This window comes from Homo sapiens, chromosome X (assembly GCF_000001405.40).
Source record: "Homo sapiens chromosome X, GRCh38.p14 Primary Assembly".
Taxonomy (NCBI): Eukaryota; Metazoa; Chordata; class Mammalia; order Primates; family Hominidae; genus Homo; species Homo sapiens.
The window spans coordinates 40,580,953-40,607,337 of NC_000023.11; the positions used below are offsets into that span (position 1 = coordinate 40,580,953).

Below are 26,385 nucleotides of genomic sequence, written 5' to 3' on the forward strand. Positions count from 1 at the left end.
GACCCGGGAGCCTGGACGAGTCCGAGCGCGTCACCTCCTCACGCTGCGGCTGTCGCCCGTGTCCCGCCGGCCCGTTCCGTGTCGCCCCGCAGTGCTGCGGCCGCCGCGGCACCATGGCTGTGTTTGTCGTGCTCCTGGCGTTGGTGGCGGGTGAGGAGCCGGGGGCCGGCAGGACGTGCCTGGGGAGGTCCTGCGCCGCGGGGCTTGGGGGTCGGGGGCGGCCGCGGGCGAGTAGCTGCGAGGCAGGTGCCGCAGTGCGGTCCGTCAGCGGCGGCCTCGCCTCAGCCGCGTCCCCGTCAGCATCTTCTCTGGATCGGCCGTGGCGGCGCGGCCTCACGGGCCGCCGGGGCCGGGGCTGGGCTGCGTAGGGGGCCCCTGAGCCTGCCTCCACCCTCCACTTTGAGGGCGGCGCGTCCGGCCGGCTTCTTGCGCCTGAAAAGGCCCTTCAGAGTACGGAGATGCATTTCTCAGTGAACTGGGATTGAGTCGCAGCCCGCTGCGAAGAAGAGAAGGCAGACTTTTTAGCTGCCACTGGCTGCCACGATGTTTTTGCATTTGTATGGTGCCTTCATTTCTAGTGGTTGTCATCAGTAATTGCTGAAATCCCTGCCCCTCCCTTCCCTTATGTATATTTCCGGATGCAAAAGTTGAGATGGAGTCATTATTTTTATATGACTTATATTTCTTAAGGCGAATACAAAGCACCTCTCAATAGTTTGTCAGAGTTCCAAATTTTAAGGATTTGGAAACAGGATGTGAGTCGCATTTTTAGGGTCACATGTCAATAAATGGTAGCTTTCTGAGTAGAACCTAGATTCCTAAGCATTCAGCAAGAGGTGAAGAAATCAGCTAATACGTGGCCTCTTACTGCATATCATGTGGTAATGTATTTCATTTGACAGCAGTCCTTAGAGGGCATCATCTTTGTTTTGCAGGGTGATCAACCTAAATAAATTACCCAACACTAAACAGGTTGGGTGCTGGATTTGATTTCAGATGAGGTGGTGCCAGCGCATCGGCCTTTTCCATTATATATGTTGTGTTGCACAAGTAACGCTATTACTGTGTGAGAATGTGGGAGTGATGGGGACTGAGACTGGAGGCACAGACAGTAGTGAACAAGAGGCCAAGTTGAGAACGGCTTGGAGGAATGGGTGCTCTGATCTCAGTGTGTCAGTTTAAAACCTATGGGAGGCCGGGCGCGGTGGTTCACGCCTGTAATCCCGGCACTTTGGGAGGCCGAAGCAGGCAGATCACCTGAGGTCAGGAGTTTGAGACCAGCCTGGCCAACAAGGCAAAACGCCATCTCTACTGCAAATATAAAAATTAGCCGGGTGTGTTGGGGCACACCTGTAATCCCAGCTACTCAGGAGGCTGAGGTACGAGAATCGCTTGAGCCCGGGAGGCGGAGGTTGCAGTGAGCCGAGATCGCGCCATTGCACTCCAGCCTGGGCGATAGAGCCAGACCTTGTCTCAGAAGCAAAAACAAACATACAAACAAACCAAAAACCTATGTGAGGTGTTGGGAGGTCCTGCTTGTGGAATGGCGATTTAATTCTGCACCAGTATGCTCTTGAAATCTGCAGATCTCTGTCCCTAGAGGTGCGGGGGTTTTGTGTGTTAATGATAGTTACGTTGTATCCATGCCCCAAACGTTTTCGAGTTCTTTGTTTCTTTCTTCTGTTTCTGGCTCTGGAAAGGTCTTTCTGATCTACTGAGATACTTTGAGGGAATTAATTTTAATTCAGTTTTTGAAATTTTAAAAATATTCCCTTTGATCCTGTGGTTTAACTGAACATCTATTGAGATTCCATGTTTTAATATTTTGACTGATATTATTTTGATTCAGTGAGGTATAGGCTTTTTTGTTTTGGGTCTGAGATAAAATAATTGCTTCTGCACATGGTTTGAACATGTTTTCCTTACTAGCATAGCCGAGTTCATACAGAACAAGAACCTGATCCTGTCAGCTTCTGAATTGCTCAGTCTTGTCAGATGAGGTTCAGTTATTATTTTCCACAATGACTAAATGTGATGTAGTGGAAAACATCTTTAAGAGCTCTGACTTCTCTATTCCAGGCAGAAACAAAAATAGAAATCCTTTAAAACAGTGTTGCCAAACTAGAGGGAGAACTAGGGACCTAGAGAGAGAGGAAGGGAACTAGGATTTTGAATACCATATCATGAGGCGTATTTGATAAAATTCAGATATTTAGCCTGGAGAAGAAAGGCCAAGGGTGAACACATGGAATTTGAAGTGATGTCATGTAGAAGAGGGAGATAGGATCCATTTTTTTATTATTATTGATTCCATCCACCATTCGTAGACGATAATAGCACAGTATAGTGGAGTTCCTAGAGGGAAGGACACTTAGCCCAGACTGGGGAGGCTGAGGAAAATTTCCCATGGGAGGTGCCTCCCAGGGCTAATGTGTTGAAAAGTTGGGGTGGGAAGAAAAGGTATTTGAAACAGAACAGCATGTGTAAAAGCATGGCGATGTGAGAGCAAAGGGGCAAGTAGTTTGGTGGGGCTGAAATGTACAGGATTAAGTTGGGGAGATACCAGAAATAAGGCTGATGAGGTTTCTTGGGTGTTAATGCTTTGGGTTTTGCCTCAGAGTCTCTGGGCAGTGAGAGAAGGCATTTAAGCAGAAGGGTGAATGATCAGATCTGTATTTTGAAGCAGTTATGGGAAAGGCTGGATTAGAGAGTGGCATGACAAGGGTCATAAGGCACCCAATTCTAGCAAACCTGGAGAGGGCCTGAAGAGTGTGCCCTGGACATAGAGGGGAAAGGATTTGTGAGATAAGAAAAAAAGATGAAATTCAGTGGCTAATTAGCTGTGTTGCTGAGGAAGATTTAAAGACGACTGATTCCAGCCACTGGGTGGAAGGAAGGTGGTATCATCCTTCAAGATAGAATACAGGAGAAGTGTGTGGAAAGATGGTGAATTGGGTGTGTTTTTGGTGTTTGCAGCCTTAGGAGTAGTTGGGCTCAGCCTGGGAGAGATGTAGAATAGGAAAGCAGTAAGAGTCAAGAATGGAGCCCTCAGATCTCCAAAGTGGAGTATGCTAGGTGATCCATTTGGATGCCAGATGAATGTACTAGAAATTCCATTTATATCCTTTTTGTTTTTGTTTTTGAGACAGGGTCTCACTCCGTCACCCAGGCTGGAGTGCACTGGTGTGATCACAGCTCACTGCAGCCTCGACCACCCAGGCTCAAGCGATTCTCCCACCTCAGCCTCCCTAGTAGCTGGGACCACAGGCGCATGCCACCATACCCAGCTAATTTTTTGTTTGTTTTTGTAGAGATGAGGTCTCAAACTCTTGGGCTCAAGTGATCCTCCTCCTCAGCCTCCCAAAGTGCTGGGATTACACGCAGGTGTGAGCCATCGCACCCAGCCTCTATCTTTTTTTTTTTTTTTTTCCTTTTTTGAGACAGAGTCTTGCTCTGTCACCCAGGCTGAAGTGCAGTGGCACGATCTCGGCTCACTACAACCTCCGCCTCTGGGGTTCAAGTGATTCTTGTCCCTCAGCCTCCCAAGTAGCTGGGACTACTCTTGTTGCCCAGGCTGGAATGCAATGGCATGATCTTGGCTCACTGCAAGCTCCACCTTCCGGGTTCAAGTGATTCTCCTGCCTCAGTCTCCCGAGTAGCTAGGATTACAGGCATGCACCACCATGCCTGGCTAATTTTGTATTTTTTTAGTGGAGACGGGGTTTCTCCATGTTGGTCAGGCTGGTCTTGAACTCCCAACCTCAGGTGCTCTGCCTCTTGAGTAGCTGGGACTACAGGCATGCACCACCACATCTGTCTAACTTGTGTATTTTTTTGGTAGAGACGGGGTTTCACTATGTTCACCAGACTGGTCTCAAACTCCTGACCTCAAATGATCTGCCTGCCTCAGCCTCTGAAAGTGCTGGGATTACAGGCATGAGCCACCACACCTGGCCTCATTTTTGTATTTTTAGTAGAGATGAGGTTTCGCCATTATGGCCAGGCTGGTCTTGAACTCTTGGCCTCAAGTGATCCGCCTGTCTTGGCCTCCCAAAGTGCTGGGATTACAGGTGTGAGCCATCATGCCTGGCCTATTTTTATCTTATCTCTTTTTGAATAATAATGGTCAGGTATTTTGTAGACTGTCCCTCAATTTGGGTTTATCTGATGTTTTCTCATTATTAGATTGGGAAAAATACTACACAGGTATCTCATCCTTTTAAAAACTTTTATTTTTGTATGCTTTGTAATATAGCACAAATCAAATACATAATCTATTACTATAGTAGAAGTATATACTTTACATGGAGAGGATGAGAGGGACAGAGAGAAGAAAGAAGGGCTACTTTCCAATTTTGGGCTGACAGGGTTGAAATCTAAAAAGTTTGGCTACCACTGCTTTAAAGGACAGGAAGGGAAAGAAACAGAGGAGAAGCAGCCAAAGGGATTGCAAGGAAAACCAGGAGCCGTGGCTGCATGAAGACCAAAGCAGGGGCTTTTCAAGGAGGGAGTTGCCAGTATCAAATGCTTTGGGAAGTTAGATAAAATTAAGGGATGGAAATTGCCTTTTGAGTTTGGGGAGTCGTTTCAGTGGCATGGTGGGCTTGGAAGGTGTGGGCGGCCAGGTGGGGTGGCTCACGCCTGTAATCCCAGCACTTTGGGAGGCCGAGGCAGGCGGATTGTTTGAGGTCAGGAGTTCGAGACCAGTCTGGCCAACGTAGTGAAACCCTGTCTCTACCAAAAAAATACACAAGTTAGCCAGACGTGGTGGTGCGTGCCTGTAGTCCCAGCCACTCAGGAGTCTGAGGCAGGAGAATCTCTTGAACCTGGGAGGTGGAGGTTGCGGTGAGCTGAGATCCTTACCACTGCACTCCAACCTGGGTGACAGCAAGACCCTGTCTCAAAAAATAAAAATAAAAAAAATTTTTAAAATTTTGTGGGTTAAGTAGTAAACTTAAAATGAAGTATAGAAGCAAACGGTGGTTGACTGCTCTTCCTGGATTCTTCCTCTGAAGGGGAGCAAGGCTGGTAGCTGGTGGAGACTGGTAGGACCAAAGGAGGTTTTTTATGGTTTTAGTTATAGAATGGGAGTGCCTTGAGCGTATTTTTATGCTGAAGTGAAAGGGCCAGTGGAGAGGGAAAAAACTGGTGGTTTGAAGTGTGACTTCATTCATTCATTAACTCAACAAGTACTTATTGAGCACCAATGTGTCGGGCTCTGTTCTCAGCCCTGGGGATAGTGTGTGAACAAGACGCACTGAAATCCCCGCCTTCATGGAGCTTGTATTCTATAGGGCCATCTTTTGATGGCTATTACCATATAGCCACCTCACTCCTGATGTGTTGTCTGTCCTAGAAGAGTGGCTTCCTTAACAAACAGTGAAGGAACAAAGGTCCCTAAAAAGACTGAACACAGGATTGTCTTAGTCTGGAGGAGGGACATCCCTGCCCTCATGTCTGGAGGGAGAGGAGTTACAGATAGGGGCTTATGCAGATAAATTTGTGGTGGGGAGAGGAAGCAGGTAGCTCAAGAAATTCCTCTGTTTTCTCTGTGAAGCTGGAGATGAGGTTATCTGGTGAGACTGAGTTGGGGAGTGATAGCATAGGAAGTTGAAAGTTAGGAAGCCCATTTCAGTTCAGTACAAGGAAAAACTTTTCAAAGGACTAGAATGTTAGGAAAATGGAGCCAGTTGCTGGCAAATGTAGTTCGTATATTGAGGTGGTGTCCCCATCACTGGTAGTATTGAAATAGAGGAGGGGTGACTTTCTGCCAGGTATCCCTGAGACATGCTTATACTTATAATAAGCAGAAGTTTGGACAAATGACCTTCCTCTGTATAGGAGTCCCTGACTCTAAGGTTTTCTAAAGCTCTGGGCTTCTGAAGGACTGTTGTACAGGCATGGAAGTTGAAACTACGAAGCTGGGGCAAAGTTATTTGGTATAGGTTTGCCAGAATTGAATGAGTAGGGCCGTGTCTCAAAACAAGGGTATCTCCAAATCAAAATATGGTTTTTTAAATGTGTATGGTACCTGGGGCTGGGCGCGGTGGCTCACGCCTGTAATCCCAGCACATAGGGAGGCTGAGGCGGGCCGATCACTTGAGGTCAGGAGTTTGAGACCAGCTTGGCTAACATGGTGTCACCCTGTCTCTACTGAAAATACAAAATTTAGCCAGGCATGGTGGCACACACCTGTAATCCCAGCTACTTGGGAGGCTGAGGCAGGAGAATTGCTTGAACCTGGCAGGCAGAGGTTGCAGTGAGCCAATATTGTGCCACTGCACTCCAGCCTAGGCGACAGTGTGAGACTCTGTCTCAAAACAAACAAACAAAATATGTGTATGGTTCTTGGGAAGCATAGGTCTCTTGGTTCCCCATTTTTCTTAGTGTTTGCAGTACTACTACTTTAGTGAACCAAGATATCTATCAGTTACAAAAGACCATTCCATTCTGCTAATTTTTTTGGTCTGTCTTCAGCTAGAGCAGTTTGGACATTCCTGTTCTGACAGCTGTGCCGGATTGAAATTTGTAACTCCCGTGTATCAGCACCAACCTGAAGCCTTTTATTTACTGTCAATACTGCAACACCAAAACATTTACTGTTGCTTCCAACTTTATTTCCATCCCCTGTTAGTGGTACTTTCCTTAGGTCAAGAGAATAACACTGATTCTTTACTAAAGTCTAATTTTCCCATACTAGGTGTGGCTAACATTTGTTCTAGACTTGGAGCCCATTTTTTTAATAGGAACCCCAAATTAAAAAATCAGCCAGGCATGATGGCATGCATCTGTAGTCCTAGCTACTCAGAAGGCTGAGGCAGGAGGCTGAGGCAGGAAGATCACTTGGGCCCTGGAGTTTGAGGCTGCAGTGAGTCATGCAGACTCAAACTCAGCTTGGGTGACATAGCCAGACCCTGTCTCTAAAAAAATAACTAGGTACAAATTTCATCCTTAAATGTAAACAACCAATCGTGTTCACTTTGGTTGCCCAAAGACTACAAAAAGCTCAGGGGCTCTGCCCTTAGGCCTGGCAGTGAAGCAGTTCCCAGGCAGAGTTTCTGTTTTCAAGGGTGCTCAGGATTTGGAGAAAAGTTCCTTTCAGTAACTGAAATTAGCTACTTGTCCCTGTGTAAGCTAGACATCACGAGGTTAATAGATAATGGATGAAGAGGCCAAATACCTCATCCTTAGCTGTGGAGAGCTTATAAAATAGTCCCTTTATTCTCATCTTTATCTTTTAATCCTGAATCCTTAGACTAGTTGACTTTATCATTACAGAATACCTTTTCTTACCCTCTTGACATGTCAACTACAAATACTGTTTCCTGGACTTTGTTTCTAAAGTCTGAAGTGTTTTTATGTTTCTACTTGTGACATGTATGCCCCCCCCCCCCCCCAACATTTGACAGTCCTTATTTCACTAGGGTTGCCTATGGGACATAAGGAAAGATGTTACCTATCCTAAGACATAGTAACCTGGTAAAATCTTATAGTGAAATAATAGGAACTTTATGAATTTGCATTGTGTAGAAAGGATTGATGGTAGAAATAATTTAGAGATTTCAAGCTTCTTCCTTTTTAGTCTGTGCCTGGGCTTTGTTTTTTGTTTTTTAAATTTTGGAGATATGCCACTGATTTCTAATTCCTGCCAAATTGCCACATGCCTCTTTAAGAGCCATCAGTAGGAAGGTGTCTATATCATTAGGAAACCCTGTTTTGTAGTTGTACCTTTGTTGATCTCTTTTTGAGACTTTTGTTTGTTTCTTGTTCTTATCAGGCAGACCCTGAACCAGAATAGGTTCAGAGAGGCTCTGATAGTTGTACTTTTGTTCCAGCAGAATGTGTGGACTTAAATTCTTAGAGTGATACTTTGAAAAAGAATTTGTTATTGTTTAGGACTCAGCATTTTGACCAGTCATAATTTAATACGCTAAGTCAGTGGTGAATGGGGAAACATGTATTATATTTAATAATTGTCAAGGTAAATGATTTATGATGTTGATAATTCATTTACTGATCTGTTTTCTTTTCAGGTGTTTTGGGGAACGAGTTTAGTATATTAAAATCACCAGGGTCTGTTGTTTTCCGAAATGGAAATTGGCCTATACCAGGAGAGCGGATCCCAGACGTGGCTGCATTGTCCATGGGCTTCTCTGTGAAAGAAGTATGTATATATTTTTTAAATGTTTGGAGCTGCTTTTAAGAACATTTTTACTGATTTCTGCTAATAGCCCAAAAAAGCATCAAACGAACGTAGGTACGTTTGGTACAGATTACAAAAGTTAAAAAGCTCATCTGGACCAGGCACAGTGGCTCACGCCTGTAATCCCGGCACTCTGGGAGGCCGAGGTGGGAGGCTCAGTTGAACCCAGGAATTTGAGACCAACCTGGGCAACATAGTGAGACTCCCATCTCAAAAATAAATGAATTAATTTTTTAAAAACCCATTTGTAGTTGGGAAGATTTTGGATGAGTGCTTCAAGCTTGGCTTCTGAAACAAATCATTAGAAATCATTAACTATATAATTATTTATTCATAGTAGTGAAATTCTTTGTATATTAGAGAATGCATCTGTCCTACTCTTAATAGGATATCTACTTTCTGGTTTTTTTTTTTTAGTATAGGCGATAGATTCACTATGAATGATAAAATATATATGCATTATGCCTGAGGTTAGGAAAATAATGTGGTCAGTAGCCATGGGGCAGCCAAGGACCTTGGTTTCCTAGAATGGAGCTATGACCTGTTGTAGTAATTGGCTGCTTATGTGATTGTAGGGGGCGGGAGGGTCTAGATCCAGTCAATGTGAGAGATCGAAAGGTAAGGGCTCAGAAGAAAGGAAATACAGCTTGCTCGGTGCTATCATCTCCTTCTCTTTGTAAGTCTGGTGCTTTTGATGTGGTCTCTAGATATATATCATCAGTCACTGAAAGGAACTTTTCTCCAAATCCTGAGCACCCTTGAAAACAGAAACTCTACCTGGGAACTGCTTCACTGCCAGGCCTAAGGGCAGAGCCCCTGAGCTTTTTGTAGTCTTTGGGCAACCAAAGTGAACAGGATTGGTTGTTTACATTTAAGGATGAAATTTGTACCTAGTTATTTTTTTAGAGACAGGGTCTGGCTGTGTCACCCAAGCTGAGTTTGAGTCTGCATGACTCACTGCAGCCTCAAACTCCAGGGCCCAAGTGATCTTCCTGCCTCAGCCTCCTGCCTCAGCCTTCTGAGTAGCTAGGACTACAGATGCATGCCATCACGCCTAGCTGATTTTTTAATTTTTTGTAGAGACAGGGTCTCGCTATGTTGTCCAGGCTGGTAGGTCTTTAACTCCTGGCCTCAAGCAATCCTTTCTGCGTCAGCCTCCCAAAGTGCTGGGATTACAGGCACGAGCCACCACACCCAGCCTGTACCTAATTCTTTTTTTGTTTTGTTTTGTTTTGTTTTTTGCTACAGGGTCCCGCTCTATCACCCAAGCTAGAGTGCAGTGGCCTGATCTCGGCTTACTGCAACCTCCACCTCCCAGGTTCAAGAGATTCTCCCACCTCAGCCTCCCCGGTAGCTGGGACCACAGGCGTACAACACCATGCCCAGATCATTTTTATATTTTTTGTAGAGACAGGATTTTGCCATGTTGCTCAGGCTGGTCTTGAACTCCTGGACACAAGGAATCTACCTGCTTCAGCCTCCCAAAGTGCTGAGATGACAGGCGTGAACACCACACCTGACCATCTAGTTCTTTACAACCTTAAACTTGACTACTGATGGCTATTAAAATAACTGAGAAATAATTATTAGTAAACTAATGATAGTTACTTTTAGTAGGAATTGTTTTATTTATAAAGATCTTAGTCTAAAGAGGATGTTTTAATGACCATCTTGCTATGTCTCTGTGAAAGATAAAAGTGATGCTGTATATGAGGGCAAAAAATGATGTGGGGGAAGAAAATTTCCATGGCTACATGAAGAAAATATTTTGTGATCTGAAATTTGAAAGGTACCTATGTTTTGTTTACTTGCTTGCTTTTTTCCACAAAAGGTGTCAGATGACTTACTATTGGACTTTATTTCAAATCTGTAAAATTTTAAGAAAATGAAGAGGGTAGAAATCAGCATTCTTGATTAGGGGATTGCAACGACTGCCACAAATAAAATGTTTACTTTCCCTGTGAATTTTCCTTGTCAGTGTCATCTCAGAACCCCTTAACTCTGCTTATTAGATGTTATTGGGGAGGTGGGTTCCTGAGTTGATAATTAAGCACCGCTTTGTGCTTTTCAATGTTTAGGACCTTTCTTGGCCAGGACTCGCAGTGGGTAACCTGTTTCATCGTCCTCGGGCTACCGTCATGGTGATGGTGAAGGGAGTGAACAAACTGGCTCTACCCCCAGGCAGTGTCATTTCGTACCCTTTGGAGAATGTGAGTATTTATTATAAAAAATTAAAGGGATGCATTTTACATTTTCCCTTGTCAGCTGTCATTATGAATTGCATTCTAAACATACTTCTCTTATCTGTTTTTGATGCACAGTTTCTTTTGAAATTCTTTGACAAACACAATTTCTTTTTAAGAAAATTACATGATGATTGTAATTAACTGAGGCTTGGCTGTTCTCTGTGGATGAGAGTACTGTTTAAGATAAGAGATAGAGAAATTGCCCCACTCAGAATAGCCAGAGGCTTGAAAAAGAGAGCCACTAAAGGAGAAACCAGTTGGGGTTGTATCCTGCTACTGTTTTTTTGGCCATTGTCTTGTCATCTTCCCTGCAGGATTTTACCTCTTTTCGTGTGTAAGGACACTGGAGGCTGCTTGCTGGCTCACTTACTCCTTCACTGGCTATTCAGGCAATGTGGGTGACTGTGCTGATCTAAGAGGCCCTCCTTCCATTATAAGCATATAGAAGTGCTTGAAAGAATGTCACAAAAAACATTTTTACTAGCATAACTAAATTTGAATGCAAGAGGGGGTGATATACACAGGTGTTACATATGGATGGAAAACTCAGAAGCCATAGTGGTGAGCAGAAGCTGACGCTGAAACTGTGTTTCCTGCAGAAAGCCAGGGACTAGAAATGCTGTCAACTTGTTCTTGAAAAGCAGACTAGTAAAACTAGTAAAGCTGGCTTGCTGCCCTTGGCTGTTGGACCCAAAGAGTCCCCTGAGATAAATTAGAATTAGAATTATAGGCTTATGCTGTGCAGAGTGGTTCTTTGCAAATTCACATGACCTGCCCCATAGGGACATCTCCATAGCCAAGGGCTCCTTTGGTCAAATACGGAAGATGAGTGGAATTTACAAAGCACCTGAAGGAAAAAAAATGCCATGAGAAACAGGTGCAACAAACAGAATTCATCTCCTTAGAACTACGGAGAATAGGCCAATTTCCAAGAGATCTAAAAATACATACATTAAAATTGTGAAAAAAAGGGCCAGGCATGGTGGCTCACGCCTGTAATCCCAGCTTTGGGAGGCCAAGATGGGAGGATTGCTTGAGGCCAGGAGTTTGAGACCAGCTTGGTCAACATAGCAAGACCCTATCTCTAGGGGGAAAAAAAAAGAAAGAAAGAGAAAAAATTTGTGAAAAAAAGGAAGGAACAGAAACTATGAGGGAGTTATAAGACATTTTTGATACATGGTGCTTTAGCTGATACTTCAAAATATTTCATAATTTATATTGTGATTCTTTAACCCATGAGTTATGTAGAAGTATTTTTTCCAAATGCATGGGTTTTAAAAAAGTAATTTCTAATTTTTAAATTTCTAAGTTCACTGCATTGTAATACTGTGGTCTATGTGATGCTGAAGTTTTGGGATTTTTTTTTTTTTCAGACTTTCCTGTGGTCGAGTATAGATTATTTCCAAGTACACATGGCATACTTAGAAAAAATTACTGTGCAGTAGTCCACAAGGCAAATCTCAACAAACAATAAAGAATCAGTGTCATATAAACTAACTTCTCTGACCACAATGCAGTTAAATCTGAAAATAATAATAAAATGATATCTTAAAAGGGTATTTGGAGCCCGGCACCATGGCTCACGCCTGTAATCCCAACACTTTGAGAGGCCAAGGCGGGTGAATCACTTGAGGCGAGGAGTCCGAGACCAGCCTGGCCAACATGGCTAAACCCTGTCTCTACTGAAAATACAAAAATTAGCCAGGCGTGGTGGCACGCATCTGTAGTCCCAGCTACTCAGTGGCTGAGGCACGAGAATTACTTGAAACTGGGAGGTGGAGGTTGCAGTGAGCTGGGATTGCGCCACTGCACTCCAGCCTGGGTGACAGAGCGAGACTCCATCTGGGAAAAAAAAAAAGGTATTTGGATCAACATTTCTCCTTTCCCCATCCACCCGTCTCCCCCAGCGTCTTCTAACCATCATTCTACTCTACTTCTATGAGTTCAACTTACAAGTGAGGTCATGTAGTATTTGTCCTTCTATGCCTGGCTTACTTCACTTAACATAATGTCCTCCAGGTTTATCCATGTTGCAAATGACAGTTTCCCGCGCTTTAAAGGCTGTATAGTATTCCATTATGTTTATATACCACATTTTCTTTCTGCTTTTTTCTTTTTTTTTTGAGACAGAATCTTGCTCTGTCGCCCAGGTTGGAGTGCAGTGGCGCAATGTCATCTCACTGCAACTTCTGCCTCCTGGGTTCAAGGGATTCTGGTGTCTCAGCCTCCTGAGTAGCTGGGATTACAGGTGCATGCCACCACGCCCAGCTAATTTTTTGTATTTTTAGTAGAGATGAGGTTTCATCATGTTGGCCAGGCTGGTCTCGAACTCCTGAGCTCAGGTGATCCACCCACCTCAGCCTCCCAGTGGATCTCAGTGCTGGGATTACAGGTGTGAGCCACTGCACCCAGCTGCACATTATCTTTATCCATTCGTTTGATTATGGACACCGAGGTTGCTTCCATCCATATCTTAGAAATTGTAAATAGTGCTGCAGTGAACATGGGAGTGCAGATATCTCTTCAGCATACTGACTTCAATTGCTTTGGATATATATACCCAGAAGTGGGCTTGCTGGATCATGCTTTAGTGATCTATTGCACAAAATGGTGACTATATTAAATAATAATGCATTGTGTATTTCAAAATTGCTAAAGGAGTAGATTTTAGATACTTTTACCACAAAAAAAATATAAGTATGTGAGGTGATGGATTTGTTCATTAGCCTGATTTAATCAGTCTACTTTGTAAACTTATAACAAAACATAACATTGTACCCCATAAATATATACAGTTACTATTTGTCAGTTAAAAATAAAATAAAAAGTATTTGGAAATAGTAACAAACAGAAGATAACAACTCCTCAGATTTAAAGCATATGGAACACCCAGTAGGCAAAAGCCAGATCCACACCTACATACGGTGAAATTGAAGAGTCATCAAGGAAATGGAAAATCTTAAAAGCTGTGAGGGAGAAAAGACACTGTCATTACAAAGGAATGAGAGTAGAAGGAAAGCAAGGAAAATGTAGTGATTGTGTAGTATGAGCTAGGCTGAGTATTATTTGCATTGTCATAATAATGAAATGATGCTGATCAAGTGAAAATTTTGATATAACTATTGGGTAAGAGTGGGGAGATAGAAACAGAAGCAGAGCGCATGGATGGCTCAGCGCATGGATGGGGCAGTGGTTGGTGATGTGAGAGAGCTAAAGCCTCATTTTCTATAATGGATAGTAAATAGACAAGACCTAAAATTGAAAAATCAGGAGATGTAATTTAAGTGTCTTATTTAGAGATGTTAAAAGCAAAAAAAGTCAACAAGAAAAGATAGTTGGAATAGATGCACTCCTAAATAATTCATGGGTTGAGGAGGAAATCACTGTGGAACTTTTTAAATTATTTGGAACTGAGTAACAATGAATGTAGCATTTATTTACAAAATTGGGAGGTGCAGCTAACGTGGTAAGAAAAGGGAAATTTATAGCCTTAAATGCATGTTTTAGACAATTTAGGTTGTCTAAGAATGGAAATTAATGAGCTAAAGAAAGCGGAAGAACTTCAGAGTAAATACACATAAAGTAGAAGGAAGGGAACAATACAGATCAAAAGGCAGATTATTTCACAGGGAGCATTTAAGTCATTTTTTATGTGATTTCTGTGAAAATCATTGCAGAAGATTTTCTTTAAAATTATAAAAATCCAAAATGCCATTTTGAGATTTTTATTAGCATGTAATCCAAAAATAAAGATTTAAAAACAGACTAGCCTCATTTTACATGAGAAGAAGCTGTGCTGTGTGAGGAGCTCATTTTATTGCTTGGCCCTGGTTGGCTGCTCAATGCTTTTCCTAGCAGAAGATGGTAAATGAGATAAAAGATTCAGGGGCAAACCCCACAAAACATAAAAATCAGAGTATCTTAGAATTCCATTTAACGAAGCTTCCATTTGATTAGCTAGCTGTTTTAGTTAGAATTTCAAGTCATACAGGTACAGAAATTTGAGGACAGATATGCATCTCCCTTACAATACAGTGAGAGAAAAACCATCATTCGATATTAAGCAGCCAAGCTTTTTACTTTTTGAGCTTAGCTGCCTATATAATTATTTCTTTTCCTTCATTGGTGTTCATTTGATTCATGAGCTGCTTCAATTTGATCGCTATGGACATGGTTCCTAATCTTCAACTTTCCTGAACCGAGCGCCATTTCACTAAGTGAAGTGAGGCTGGAAAGTTTGCATCATTTGCTCATGTATTCCCCTCACAGCCTGAGGAGGTAAACTCTATGATCGCTAAAGGAAAGCACCTATAGATGATTCAGGGCGGCTGCTAGCAGTATGCTTTTGCAACTTTGAACTCTCTTCCCCCTCTTCACTTACTCATTAACTCATTTTGAGAGAATTTGGGGAAGAGTTAATAAGCATCTTGAGTAAGAGAAAAAAATTATTTCATTTCACAGAATCATAAAATTGATCACTTAATATTGATGCTGGGCCTGGGCATGGTGGCTCACGCCTGTAATCCCAGCACTTTGAGAGGCCAAGGCAGGCAGATCACATCAGGCCAGGAGTTTGAGACTAGCATGGCCAACTTGATGAAACCCCGTCTCTACTAAAAATACAAAAATTAGCCAGGCGTGGTGGTGCGTGCCTGTAATCCCAGCTATTCAGGAGGCTGAGGCAGGAGAATCACTTGTACCTGGGAGGTGGAGGCTGCACTGAGCCGAGATCGCGCCACTGTACTCCAGCCTGGGCAACAGAGTGAGGCTCTGTCTCAAAAAAAAAAAAATGTGATGCTGGGATTTTATCAGTAAGACATAATCACATTGATTTCTGCCTGTATCATATTAGCGTTACTTTGCTACTTGTAAACATGAATCTTTAAGTAGTAAGGGAACTACTGAATGAAAGATCAATGTAAGAAATCTCCATTAAAACAAAAACATGACTGTACTGCTTGTTTTAATACAGTAATACTGGGAATGAAATAATTTTTTTAGGGGAAAAATAACTGTAATTTATTTTTTTAAATCATGTACTGCAAAACAAATCTATGGGGATAGAAGTCAGAATTTTTGTTACCCTTGAGGGTGGAGGTAGTACTTCGAGGGCGCTGATAGTGTTCTGTGTCGATCTGGCTGGGCTACCTGAGTGCATGCATGTGTAAACATTTGTTGAGCTGTTACCCCAAGATTTGTATACTATATTATATGTATTTTGCACTTTAATAAAAAAATTGAAGGAAAAAAGTAGGTCTTATCACCATTGGTTATTTCAATCTAATAATATCAACATGTCCTAAGATAAAGGCTTCAAAAACCTTGTGACATACTTAACACCTTATCTAAGAGTCTTTAGGCTATCTGAAGACAAATGTTAAATCTCATTAAACATTTTTAAAATTTTGAAATGAAAGATGAATTCCATTTTTATTTCAATTAAATTCAATACTCAGATTCCTCTAACCTCTTAAATGCAAATTAAATACTTTATTGTGGAATATGCATTCATCGTGGCACATTTAGTCAATATTGAAACCAAATGTATTGCTGCTTCAAATACATGAATGACCACCAGAAAATGGTTTGTGCTAGATATAGTGTTGTGTCCATCAGGTTTAAGTTATTTTCCACTGAGGCATGATGGGAGATACAGACTTGGCTTACCAGGGGGCTGTTTAATCTTCTGTGCCCTCAAAAGGGCTTGTTTGGAAATGATTTCGGGCTTCTAAATTTCCATAGAAAGTGCTGGAAAAAAGTTTAAGGCTTCTTTTTAAATACCATCTGAATGATTTTTCTTCCCACTTTGGTTCACATAATAATTGCGTTCTTACTCTTAAATTTCAGGCAGTTCCTTTTAGTCTTGACAGTGTTGCAAATTCCATTCACTCCTTATTTTCTGAGGAAACTCCTGTTGTTTTGCAGTTGGCTCCCAGTGAGGAAGTAAGTGATAAGGGTTTTATTCAAGACATTTTAAAAAATAAGCTTTTATTATTTGAAAATTATGAAATGTAATTTTATTATGAAAATATAAAACTAATTTATGAACAATGTTGTCATACCTCTGGGTATTGGAACTAATCTGTAGAATTTGAGCAACTTAAAATTTTCTATTCTTCTTACAGAGAGTGTATATGGTAGGGAAGGCAAACTCAGTGTTTGAAGACCTTTCAGTCACCTTGCGCCAGCTCCGTAATCGCCTGTTTCAAGAAAACTCTGTTCTCAGTTCACTCCCCCTCAATTCTCTGAGTAGGAACAATGAAGTAAGTGCAGTTATTCAATGAATACATGAATATCATTAATTTCCGTCTTTTTAAAAAATAGAGACAGGGTCTCACTCTGTTGTCCAGGCTGGTCTTGAACTCCTGGCCTCAAGCAATCCTGTCTTGGCCTCCCAAAGTGCTGGGATCACAGGCTTGAGCCACTGCATCTGGCCTCCCATTCCTTATACTACTTGAAATTTTGGAAATTTTGCTATTTTAGAAAATGAAAGATTGTGCACATTTACTGCTGGGGTAGATTCTTCTTTAGTGTAATTTTCTTATGACTCTCATGAATAAACTGATCCTTTTTGTGAGTTGAGCTGTGGTAAATAACATCACATTTTAGCACGAGGGTTGCCACCTATTAATTCAAACAAGCCAGAGGTCATAGATCTACTTGGTGACTGGTGGAGCTGTGTGGATCTGGTAACTTGGAAGCCATTGTTCACTGCCTCTGCTGATTTGTTGCCACATTTTTCTCATTCATTCTGGACATTGCAGTGGAGGGAGCCACCTCTACTTTTGACTCCTGTCCTTCAGTTTCTCCATCTGCTCATGCGCCCTCTTAACCATGTGGCATGCCACTTTCGTGGTGGCCTCCCCTTTTTATTTGCTGTGGATGACCAGGGCCATCATCCTTTATTCTCTGATGTGGAAACTATTCAAGGGAAGTGAGCAAACTGGGCCAATGGTAGGATGTCATTGCAGAGTGCCAGGATATCCTGATGCTTTGAAGGAAAACCACTGGAGAACTTGGATGCTTTATCATGGTTTTGCCAAAAATATAGCTATTGAGTGGCAGTCACTGTGCTAGGGAATGGCCATCACCTTTTTGTTAGGAAATAATGTTTTATATGCATTTTCAATTGAAGCAAACATACCAAATGGAAGATAATTATATAAATTCACTTATATGATCAACATTTGTAATATCCTGTGCCTTGCTTGGTAAATGGCAAATAAAGATCTCTGGTGCACATTTAAAAGAATGCTCTTTTTTTTTGGGCTCTCTGAAGGTTGACCTGCTCTTTCTTTCTGAACTGCAAGTGCTACATGATATTTCAAGCTTGGTAAGTAGGCTGCTCTAATTTTTTAATTCCATTTATTTTGGTTTCTAGAGAATCCTTGAATAATAGTAAAGGCAGTTGAAAAGTTTGATTAAGTATGCCCTAGATTTATGATCCCATGAAAATTGAAAAATTAGTGGCAATATTGGGAATTTTGAACACATCCATGTTATAGTCAAATTATTTTGCATTTCTGCTTTTTAGGGAGAGACAACATATCTTCCAAGAACACAAGCCTGGGCGTAAGAACACCCTGGCCATAGTCCTAACTTGGCTGTTGATTTCTTGTGAGACTTAATTCCTATCTATATCTTTGGGCCTAAAATAGAAATAATAGTTTGGACTAATAATGCTGTCAGTCAAGTCAAGAAGGGACGAAATCCGTCTGAAGGGTATTTTTTTGGTGAATGATTTTTTAAAAATCATCCTTGTTACTGAAATAGAAATTCTTATCTGTTTGCTACCTTCTGAAGTTGTTTTCCAAACTTTTTCAACAGGTGTTGGTTCGGGGAGTCTGGAAGTGTAGTGCATTCCTGGGATCAAACTGGTCCAGCCATCTGTTCTTTCATACGTTGGCCCATACCTGAGTTTTTAAAACTGAGGAATTTTGTTGAAAGCTTTTATTAAATATCCAAGGAGTCTTGTACTGCTCCTAAACATGAGATTCGTGTTGGATTTATCAGAAACGCTTATTCAAACCAGTTTCTTTTGCCACCATTTTAGACTATTTGCATGTTGTGGTACACTGGTATGGTTTAGTTTAGCCTAGTTTAGTTAGGCATAAAACTTTAACTGGCTGTGTTTGACGTCTTTCATCTTACTTTATCCGCTACCTTTTTTTGTTTGTTTGTTCTCCTAAGCTGTCTCGTCATAAGCATCTAGCCAAGGATCATTCTCCTGATTTATATTCACTGGAGCTGGCAGGTTTGGATGAAATTGGGAAGCGTTATGGGGAAGACTCTGAACAATTCAGAGATGCTTCTAAGATCCTTGTTGACGCTCTGCAAAAGGTAAATATCAATGCGACATGAGAGGTTGGAGTATGACCATTTCACTTTTAGCCTCTTAATAGAAAAATCTGCTGTTTCAAACACTGTTGATTGAACTCTTATTTGCCTTCTTTGGGGCTCCTCTAATTATACTGGCCAAGGATGGAGTAGGGTCAAAAATGTATATTGATATATTTCTTCCTAATGCTAGAAAGAACAGCATTAGGAAAAGTTATCTCACACAAAGCTTTACAAAATTATTGTGGTAAAATATATATAACATAAAATTACCACTTTAACCATTTTTAATTGTACAGTTCAGTGGTATTAAGTGCAAGTACGTTCACATGTTGTACAACCATCACCATCTTCTATTTCTAGAACTTTTTCTTCTTCCCCAACTGAAACTCTGTACTCCTTAAACACTATGAGATAACTGAAGTAGAACACCCAGCACAGTACCAGACAGTAGATGCATAATAAATGCTAGTTCCCCTCTGCCCTTGAAGTTCTTCACCTGCATCCTTTCAGTGAGGCTTCATATTTTAATCTTTATAGATGTTTGTGATTAACCAGAGACCACTTAGGAAGATTTCATTTCTCTTTCCAACTTCCCTTCCTCCAATTTATATGCTGACAAATTCAGTCTCTTCTTAAAGTAATTTTAGTCTAAACATTTGAATATATGTTAAAGCTTAACACTTTTCTGTATAGTTGAGCAAAATCAAAACCTTTAAGACTTGCTTATTGTAAGATGTAGTATATTTCATGAGCCAGGAGGTAAGTGTACATTGTTCTTGTAGCTGCACAAAAGCTTTAAAAATAATTTTAATAAGTATGTATTTGACTCACTGCATAAAATGATAAGTAGGAGGTAATGCATATGTTAATTAGCCAATGTGGACTTAAGCCATTCCACAATGTGTACATATTTCAAAACAATATGTTGATGTGATAAATATATATGATTTTAATTTGTTAATTAAAAATGAAAAAAGTACATAGTTGAGATTCCCAATAATGTTAATAACTAACTTTCAGTTTGCAGATGACATGTACAGTCTTTATGGTGGGAATGCAGTGGTAGAGTTAGTCACTGTCAAGTCATTTGACACCTCCCTCATTAGGAAGACAAGGACTATCCTTGAGGCAAAACAAGCGGTGAGTATATTTTGAGATCCTGCTTTAAAACTGTAAAATTAACTTCTTATAAAAAAAAAAAAACCAAGTCCTATATCACCTAAGGGTGACATGAATGAGCAGTCAGTAAATCTGAAAAACAATTTCAGTTAAAACGTAAGCTTCTTGTTCACATACATATGTGTGCTTTGCCAGTGATGATCAGTTCTTTAGGGTTATAATCAGATAATGCAAGAATTTGAATTAGGGATAAAAGTAAATCTGTCCAAGATTATAATTCAAATATCAGTACACACAAGGAGATATCAGAAGTTAATGTGGCGCCAGGTGCAGTGGCGTGCATCTGTAATTGCAGCTTCTCAGGAGGCCAAGGCAGGAGGATTGCTTTAGCTCAGGAGGAGTTTGAGGCCAGTCTGAGGAAACATAGCAAGACCCTGTTTTGAAAACAAAAAGAAGTGAATGTGTGCGGGAGTGGTGTGGTGCCCACATCCTATGGGCTCTGCTTTTCTAGCAGGCACATTGTCTTTGTGGCGTAGTCCCTCACTTACTGAGATCCTCTGTGTGCACCTCTTTATGATTTTGATTTACTTAACAGTTTTTTTGGGTATGGATCTTGCTTTGATTTTAAGCATTTAGAGGGTCAGGGTTAAGCATTACCATGGTTGCTGGCCATGGTAAAATACATATCTGTTTATGTGTATGTACGTGCACATTTACATACATACATATATACTTACAGCTGCAGCAGAACCTAGGGAGGGTGATGGGAAAGAGTAGTGTAGATGCTCCCTAACATCCTACGTCTGAGAACATTGCTTAGGGCTGGCTGTATCACTTGCAGCAGATAGATATCCACTCAATTACATACACCTCCGCTTCAGACCCATTTGCAGCCCTCACCCTGCTCAGTTTTACTGAAGTCAGTGTGGGACTTGGAGTCGGAAGGTCGAAGCCAGTGCCTGTTTGAGATAGTCTAGCGATTACTGGTTTGAGATTGTTTCTTTCTAAATTAAATTGGGGATGGAAGGACCTTTGTTTCAGACAGCATGTCAGTCTAGACAACCACCCAAGATTTCCCACCATAAAACGTCTAGAAATGCTAGATAAAAATAAAGATCTTTTAAAAAGTACATAGTTTGGGCTGGGTGTGGTGGCTCACGCCTGTAATCCCAGCACTTTGGGAGGTTGAGGCGGGCGGAACACCTGAGGCCAGGAGTTCTAGACCAGCCTGGGCAACATGGTGAAACCCCGTCTCTACTAAAAATACAAAAATTAGCCTGGTGTGGTAGCGGGCACCTGTAATCCCAGCTACTTGGAAGGCTGAGGCAGGAGAATTGCTTGTACCCGGGAGGCAGAGGTTGCAGTGAGCCAAGATTGCACCACTGCACTCTAGCCTGGGAGACACAGCAAGACTCCGTCTCAAATAAAAAAAAAATTACAAAAATAAAAATACATAGTTCAGCTCGCAAGAAAGGGAAATTCTCTTACAGAGTAAATAAAGAAGAGGAGGCCGGGTGCGGTGGCTCACACCTGTAATCCCAGCACTTTGGGAGGCCGAGGTGGGTGGATCACAAGGTTAGGAGTTCGAGACCAGCCTGGCCAACATGGTGAAACTCCGTCTCTACTAAAAACACAAAAAATCAGCCGGGCGTGGTGGCGCACGCCTGTAGTCCCAGCTACTTAGGAGTCTGAGGCAGACAAATCGCTTGAACCCGGGAGGCGGAGGTTGCAGTGAGCTGAGATTGTGCCACTGTACTCCAGCCTGGGTGACACAGTGAGACTCCATCTCAAAAAAAAAAAAAAAAACCGAATGTGGTAAGCAGGCCGCCCTAAGGATATTTGCCAGCTGGGTCACCAAGAGTCCTTTGGTGCCTTGTGTGTGGGGGATGGGAATGGACAACTCCAGATAAAGCTGGGGACCCCGAGAGAGCTGTGCCCTCAGTGAGAGGGTAGACTGGAAATTTTTGCCCACCAGCACAGGGAAACAGAAAGGCACCTGGGCTCTGGGTGGTCAGCACATGTGTTGAGAGTGGGGATGCCTCCCAGAGAATTCTTTTTTTTTTTTTTTTTTTTTTTTTTTTGGATTTTTTGGAGATAGGATCTTACTCTGTCACCCAGACTGGAGTGCAGTGGCACAATCTCAACTCACTGCAGCCTCCACCTCCCAGATTCAAGTGATTCTCCTGCCTCAGCCTCCTGAGTAGCTGGAATCACAGGCATGCACCACCACACCCGGCTAATTTTTGTACTTTTAGTAGAGATGGGGTTTTACCATGTTGGCCAGGCTGGTCTTGAACTCCTGGCCTCAAGTGATTTGCTCACCTCAGCCTCCCAAAGTGCTGGGATTACAGGTGTAAGCTACCATGCCCGGCCTATGAGATTTCTTTTTAGGGTGATAGAAATGTTCTAGAATTAGATTGTGGTGATAACTATGAAACCACTAAAATTCCTTGACTTGTACACTTAAAATGGGTAGGAAAAAGAACATGTTTATCAAAAAAAAAAAAAGGAAAGAAACAAAGAGGTCTTCATGGGCGTGAAATCCTTTAACGTTTGCCTCAGCTCTGAGCTCCCCGCAGGTAAATATGCATGCCTGTGTACCCATTCTCTCCTACATTTGAAATCACTCTCTTCCATTAGTTTAAGGAGACAGGAGTTTAAGGAACATTTACTGAGTACTCACAACATTCCAGGTGCTGGGGCTGTAGGGACAAATAGATCTCGGTTACATTTTCGTTCTCATCCTCACTGCCAGGCACCCTGCCCCCATTTCTCCCACCTCATTTGACTGCCGCCTCCTAACTTGTCTGAACTCATCTGTCTCTCTGCTTCCCAGCTGGCTCCTCCCAAATCCATCCTACACATTGTCATCAAAGTTATCTTTTTTCTTTTCTTTTTTTGAGACAGGGTCTCGCCCTGTCCCAGGCCGGAGTGCAGTGGCGCAATCATAGCTCACTGTAGCCTCAAACTCCTGGGCTCAGGTGATCCACCTGTCTGAGCCTCCTGAGTAGCCAGTTCTATAGGCTTGAGCCACCACACTCAGCTAATTTTTAATTTTAATGTTATCTTTTTAAGACAAACCTGATCATGTCACTCACTTTCTGCCTAAAGCTTGTCAATGGCTCCTTATTGCCCAGAGGCTCATGTCAGATTTTCTGTAGCTTCCCTGCTTCTAGCTTCATCTCCTGCTGTGTTCCTACTTTTAAAATTCTCTAGCCAGAATGAATGATATTTCCCAAACAGTGCCTTTGTCAGAATGAATTCAGTTTCCCAAACAATGTTTTTACACAGCTCTGTATTTTAAAAAAAAGTGTTAAGTGGATCATACATACATAAGTATATAACATATTTAATACTAGTTATTTAAATAATAAAAATAATAACACTGTATAGCTCCGTTTTCATATGGCTATAAAGAGCTACCTGACACTGGGTAATTTATAAAGGAAACAGGTTTGATTGATTCACAGTTCCACATGGCTGGGGAGGCCTTAGGAAACTTACAATCATGGAGGAAGGGGAAGGGGAGGCAGGCACCTTCTTCACAAGGTGGCAAAAGAGAGAGAAAGTGGCACACTTTTAAACCATCAGAGCTCATGAGAACTCAGTATCATGAGAACAGTATGGGGGAAACTGCCCCCATGATCCAATCACCTCCCACCAGGTCCCTCTCTCGACACGTGGGGATTACAAATCGAGATGAGATTTGGGTGGGGACACAGAGCCAAACCATATCAATAGCTTAAGAGAATGCTTGCTTCTTTGAAGCTCCCTATTTTCTCCCTCTACCCTCCCTCATCCAGAGGTAACTGCTGTCCTGGATATCATGTTAATCCCTTGCTTTTCTTTACAGATTGACTGCATATGTATTTGTTCTTAAACAGTGTTGTTTGGTTTTGCCTGTATTTGAATTTTATATAAATTGAATCATACTACATGTATTTTTCTGTGTTCTTTGTTCAGTATTCTTTTTAAGATTCACTCAGGCTGACAAATGTAGCTGTAGTTTAGTCATTTTACTGTTACATATTCTGCTTGTAGGGATATACCACAATTCCATTCTGTTGATGATTTTTTTTTTTTTTTTTTTGAGACGGAGTTTTGCTCTTGTTGCTCAGGCTGGAGTGCAATGGCACAGTCTTGGCTCACTGCAACCTCCACCTGCTGGGTTCAAGCAGTTCTCCTGCCTCAGCCTCCCGAGTAGCTGGGATTACAGGCACCTGCCACGCCTGGCTAATTTCGTATTTTTAGTAGAGACGGGGTTTCACCATGTTGGCCAGGCTGCTCTGGAACTCCTGACCTCAGGTGATCTGCCCGCCTTGGCCTCCCGAAGTGCTGAGATTACAGGCATGAGCCACTGTGCCCAGCCTTGCTGCTGATATTCTTATACATGTCTCTTGGTACACATATAGAAATTTTCCCTAGCGTATGGACTTACTGGATCACAGGATATGCACACCTTCAACTTTATTAGGTATTGTCCAGTTTTCCCAAGCATTTGGACTGGTTTATACTTCCACCATCAGTGCAAGTGTCGTCTCCACAAAGGCGCTCCTTCTTGCTTCCTCCTAGTATAAGTAGCTGTTATGCCACTTATGAAGAAATGTTTGTTAGACAAATGAATCACAGTCACTAGACTGGGATAATTTCCTATTTTAAAATTCTTCCCTCTTGATTTTTCTTTCTTTTCTATATTGTAGAAGAACCCAGCAAGTCCCTATAACCTTGCATATAAGTATAATTTTGAATATTCCGTGGTTTTCAACATGGTACTTTGGATAATGATCGCCTTGGCCTTGGCTGTGATTATCACCTCTTACAATATTTGGAACATGGATCCTGGATATGATAGCATCATTTATAGGATGACAAACCAGAAGATTCGAATGGATTGAATGTTACCTGTGCCAGAATTAGAAAAGGGGGTTGGAAATTGGCTGTTTTGTTAAAATATATCTTTTAGTGTGCTTTAAAGTAGATAGTATACTTTACATTTATAAAAAAAAATCAAATTTTGTTCTTTATTTTGTGTGTGCCTGTGATGTTTTTCTAGAGTGAATTATAGTATTGACGTGAATCCCACTGTGGTATAGATTCCATAATATGCTTGAATATTATGATATAGCCATTTAATAACATTGATTTCATTCTGTTTAATGAATTTGGAAATATGCACTGAAAGAAATGTAAAACATTTAGAATAGCTCGTGTTATGGAAAAAAGTGCACTGAATTTATTAGACAAACTTACGAATGCTTAACTTCTTTACACAGCATAGGTGAAAATCATATTTGGGCTATTGTATACTATGAACAATTTGTAAATGTCTTAATTTGATGTAAATAACTCTGAAACAAGAGAAAAGGTTTTTAACTTAGAGTAGCCCTAAAATATGGATGTGCTTATATAATCGCTTAGTTTTGGAACTGTATCTGAGTAACAGAGGACAGCTGTTTTTTAACCCTCTTCTGCAAGTTTGTTGACCTACATGGGCTAATATGGATACTAAAAATACTACATTGATCTAAGAAGAAACTAGCCTTGTGGAGTATATAGATGCTTTTCATTATACACACAAAAATCCCTGAGGGACATTTTGAGGCATGAATATAAAACATTTTTATTTCAGTAACTTTTCCCCCTGTGTAAGTTACTATGGTTTGTGGTACAACTTCATTCTATAGAATATTAAGTGGAAGTGGGTGAATTCTACTTTTTATGTTGGAGTGGACCAATGTCTATCAAGAGTGACAAATAAAGTTAATGATGATTCCAAATTTGTGTCATTGCAGTACTAAATCTATTTTATATTGTAAAAACCTAACAAAACAGGCTTTTCTTTCATCAGGATTGGCTGTTTTGTTGTACAGATAATTTCATGGTGTTTCTTTTACACTTGTTTATTCTCGCTGCCTCCTGAGATTTAGTACTAATGTAAGGAAGGCATTTTAATTACCATTCTTGTTACTGAATTTATATAGGATATATGAGAAATGCATACTTTATGTAGGAAAGGGTTACATTTTTCTATAGCTTTTTTTTTTTTAAATTAAAAACATTTTAGAGACCAGTCTTGCTAGGTTGCCAGGCTGAACTCCTGGCCTCCAGTGATCCTCCTACCTCAGCCTCCCCAGTAGCTGGGATTACAGGTGTGCACCACTGCACCCGGCCCTGTAGCATTTTTAAAGATGAATAAGCAACTAATTGGTTAGAATATGAAGGACTGTCTCAGGTAAAGGTTTAAGGTAACAATTTGTTTTCTTTTTCAAAAAACAGGATCTTTAACTTCATTATTATATAGCAAGATTATTTTAGTATGAGCATTGTAGCCCTGACCCTGGGATCCTTCCTTGTATTTAGTATTAGCTGTTTCTGCATCTTCTTTGCAAAGATCATCAAATTATTTATACATAGCATTGAGTTTGGCAGGTTTGAGAAGGTAGGGTTTATTTAGTTGTCAATTACTGCAAGATGCCC

General features: G+C 41.3%; 1 protein-coding gene across 1 annotated transcript, besides 1 other annotated feature; it reads left to right on the forward strand.

Annotated features, from left to right (window-relative positions):
- Window positions 18–25,896, forward strand: ATP6AP2 (ATPase H+ transporting accessory protein 2). Its single transcript, NM_005765.3, has 9 exons — window positions 18–150; window positions 8,034–8,164; window positions 10,282–10,413; window positions 16,297–16,392; window positions 16,575–16,712; window positions 17,729–17,782; window positions 18,640–18,789; window positions 19,810–19,929; window positions 24,609–25,896. The coding sequence occupies exons 1-9, from the start codon at window positions 114–116 to the stop codon at window positions 24,801–24,803; spliced, it is 1,053 nt and encodes a 350-aa protein (NP_005756.2). The 5' UTR covers window positions 18–113; the 3' UTR covers window positions 24,804–25,896.
- Window positions 88–397: a silencer, noted in NCBI's record as "silent region_20763". NCBI's record gives its function as "represses an Ori minimal core promoter by ATAC-STARR-seq in GM12878 lymphoblastoid cells {active_cell/tissue: GM12878}" and the evidence as "EXISTENCE:reporter gene assay evidence [ECO:0000049][PMID:35858748]".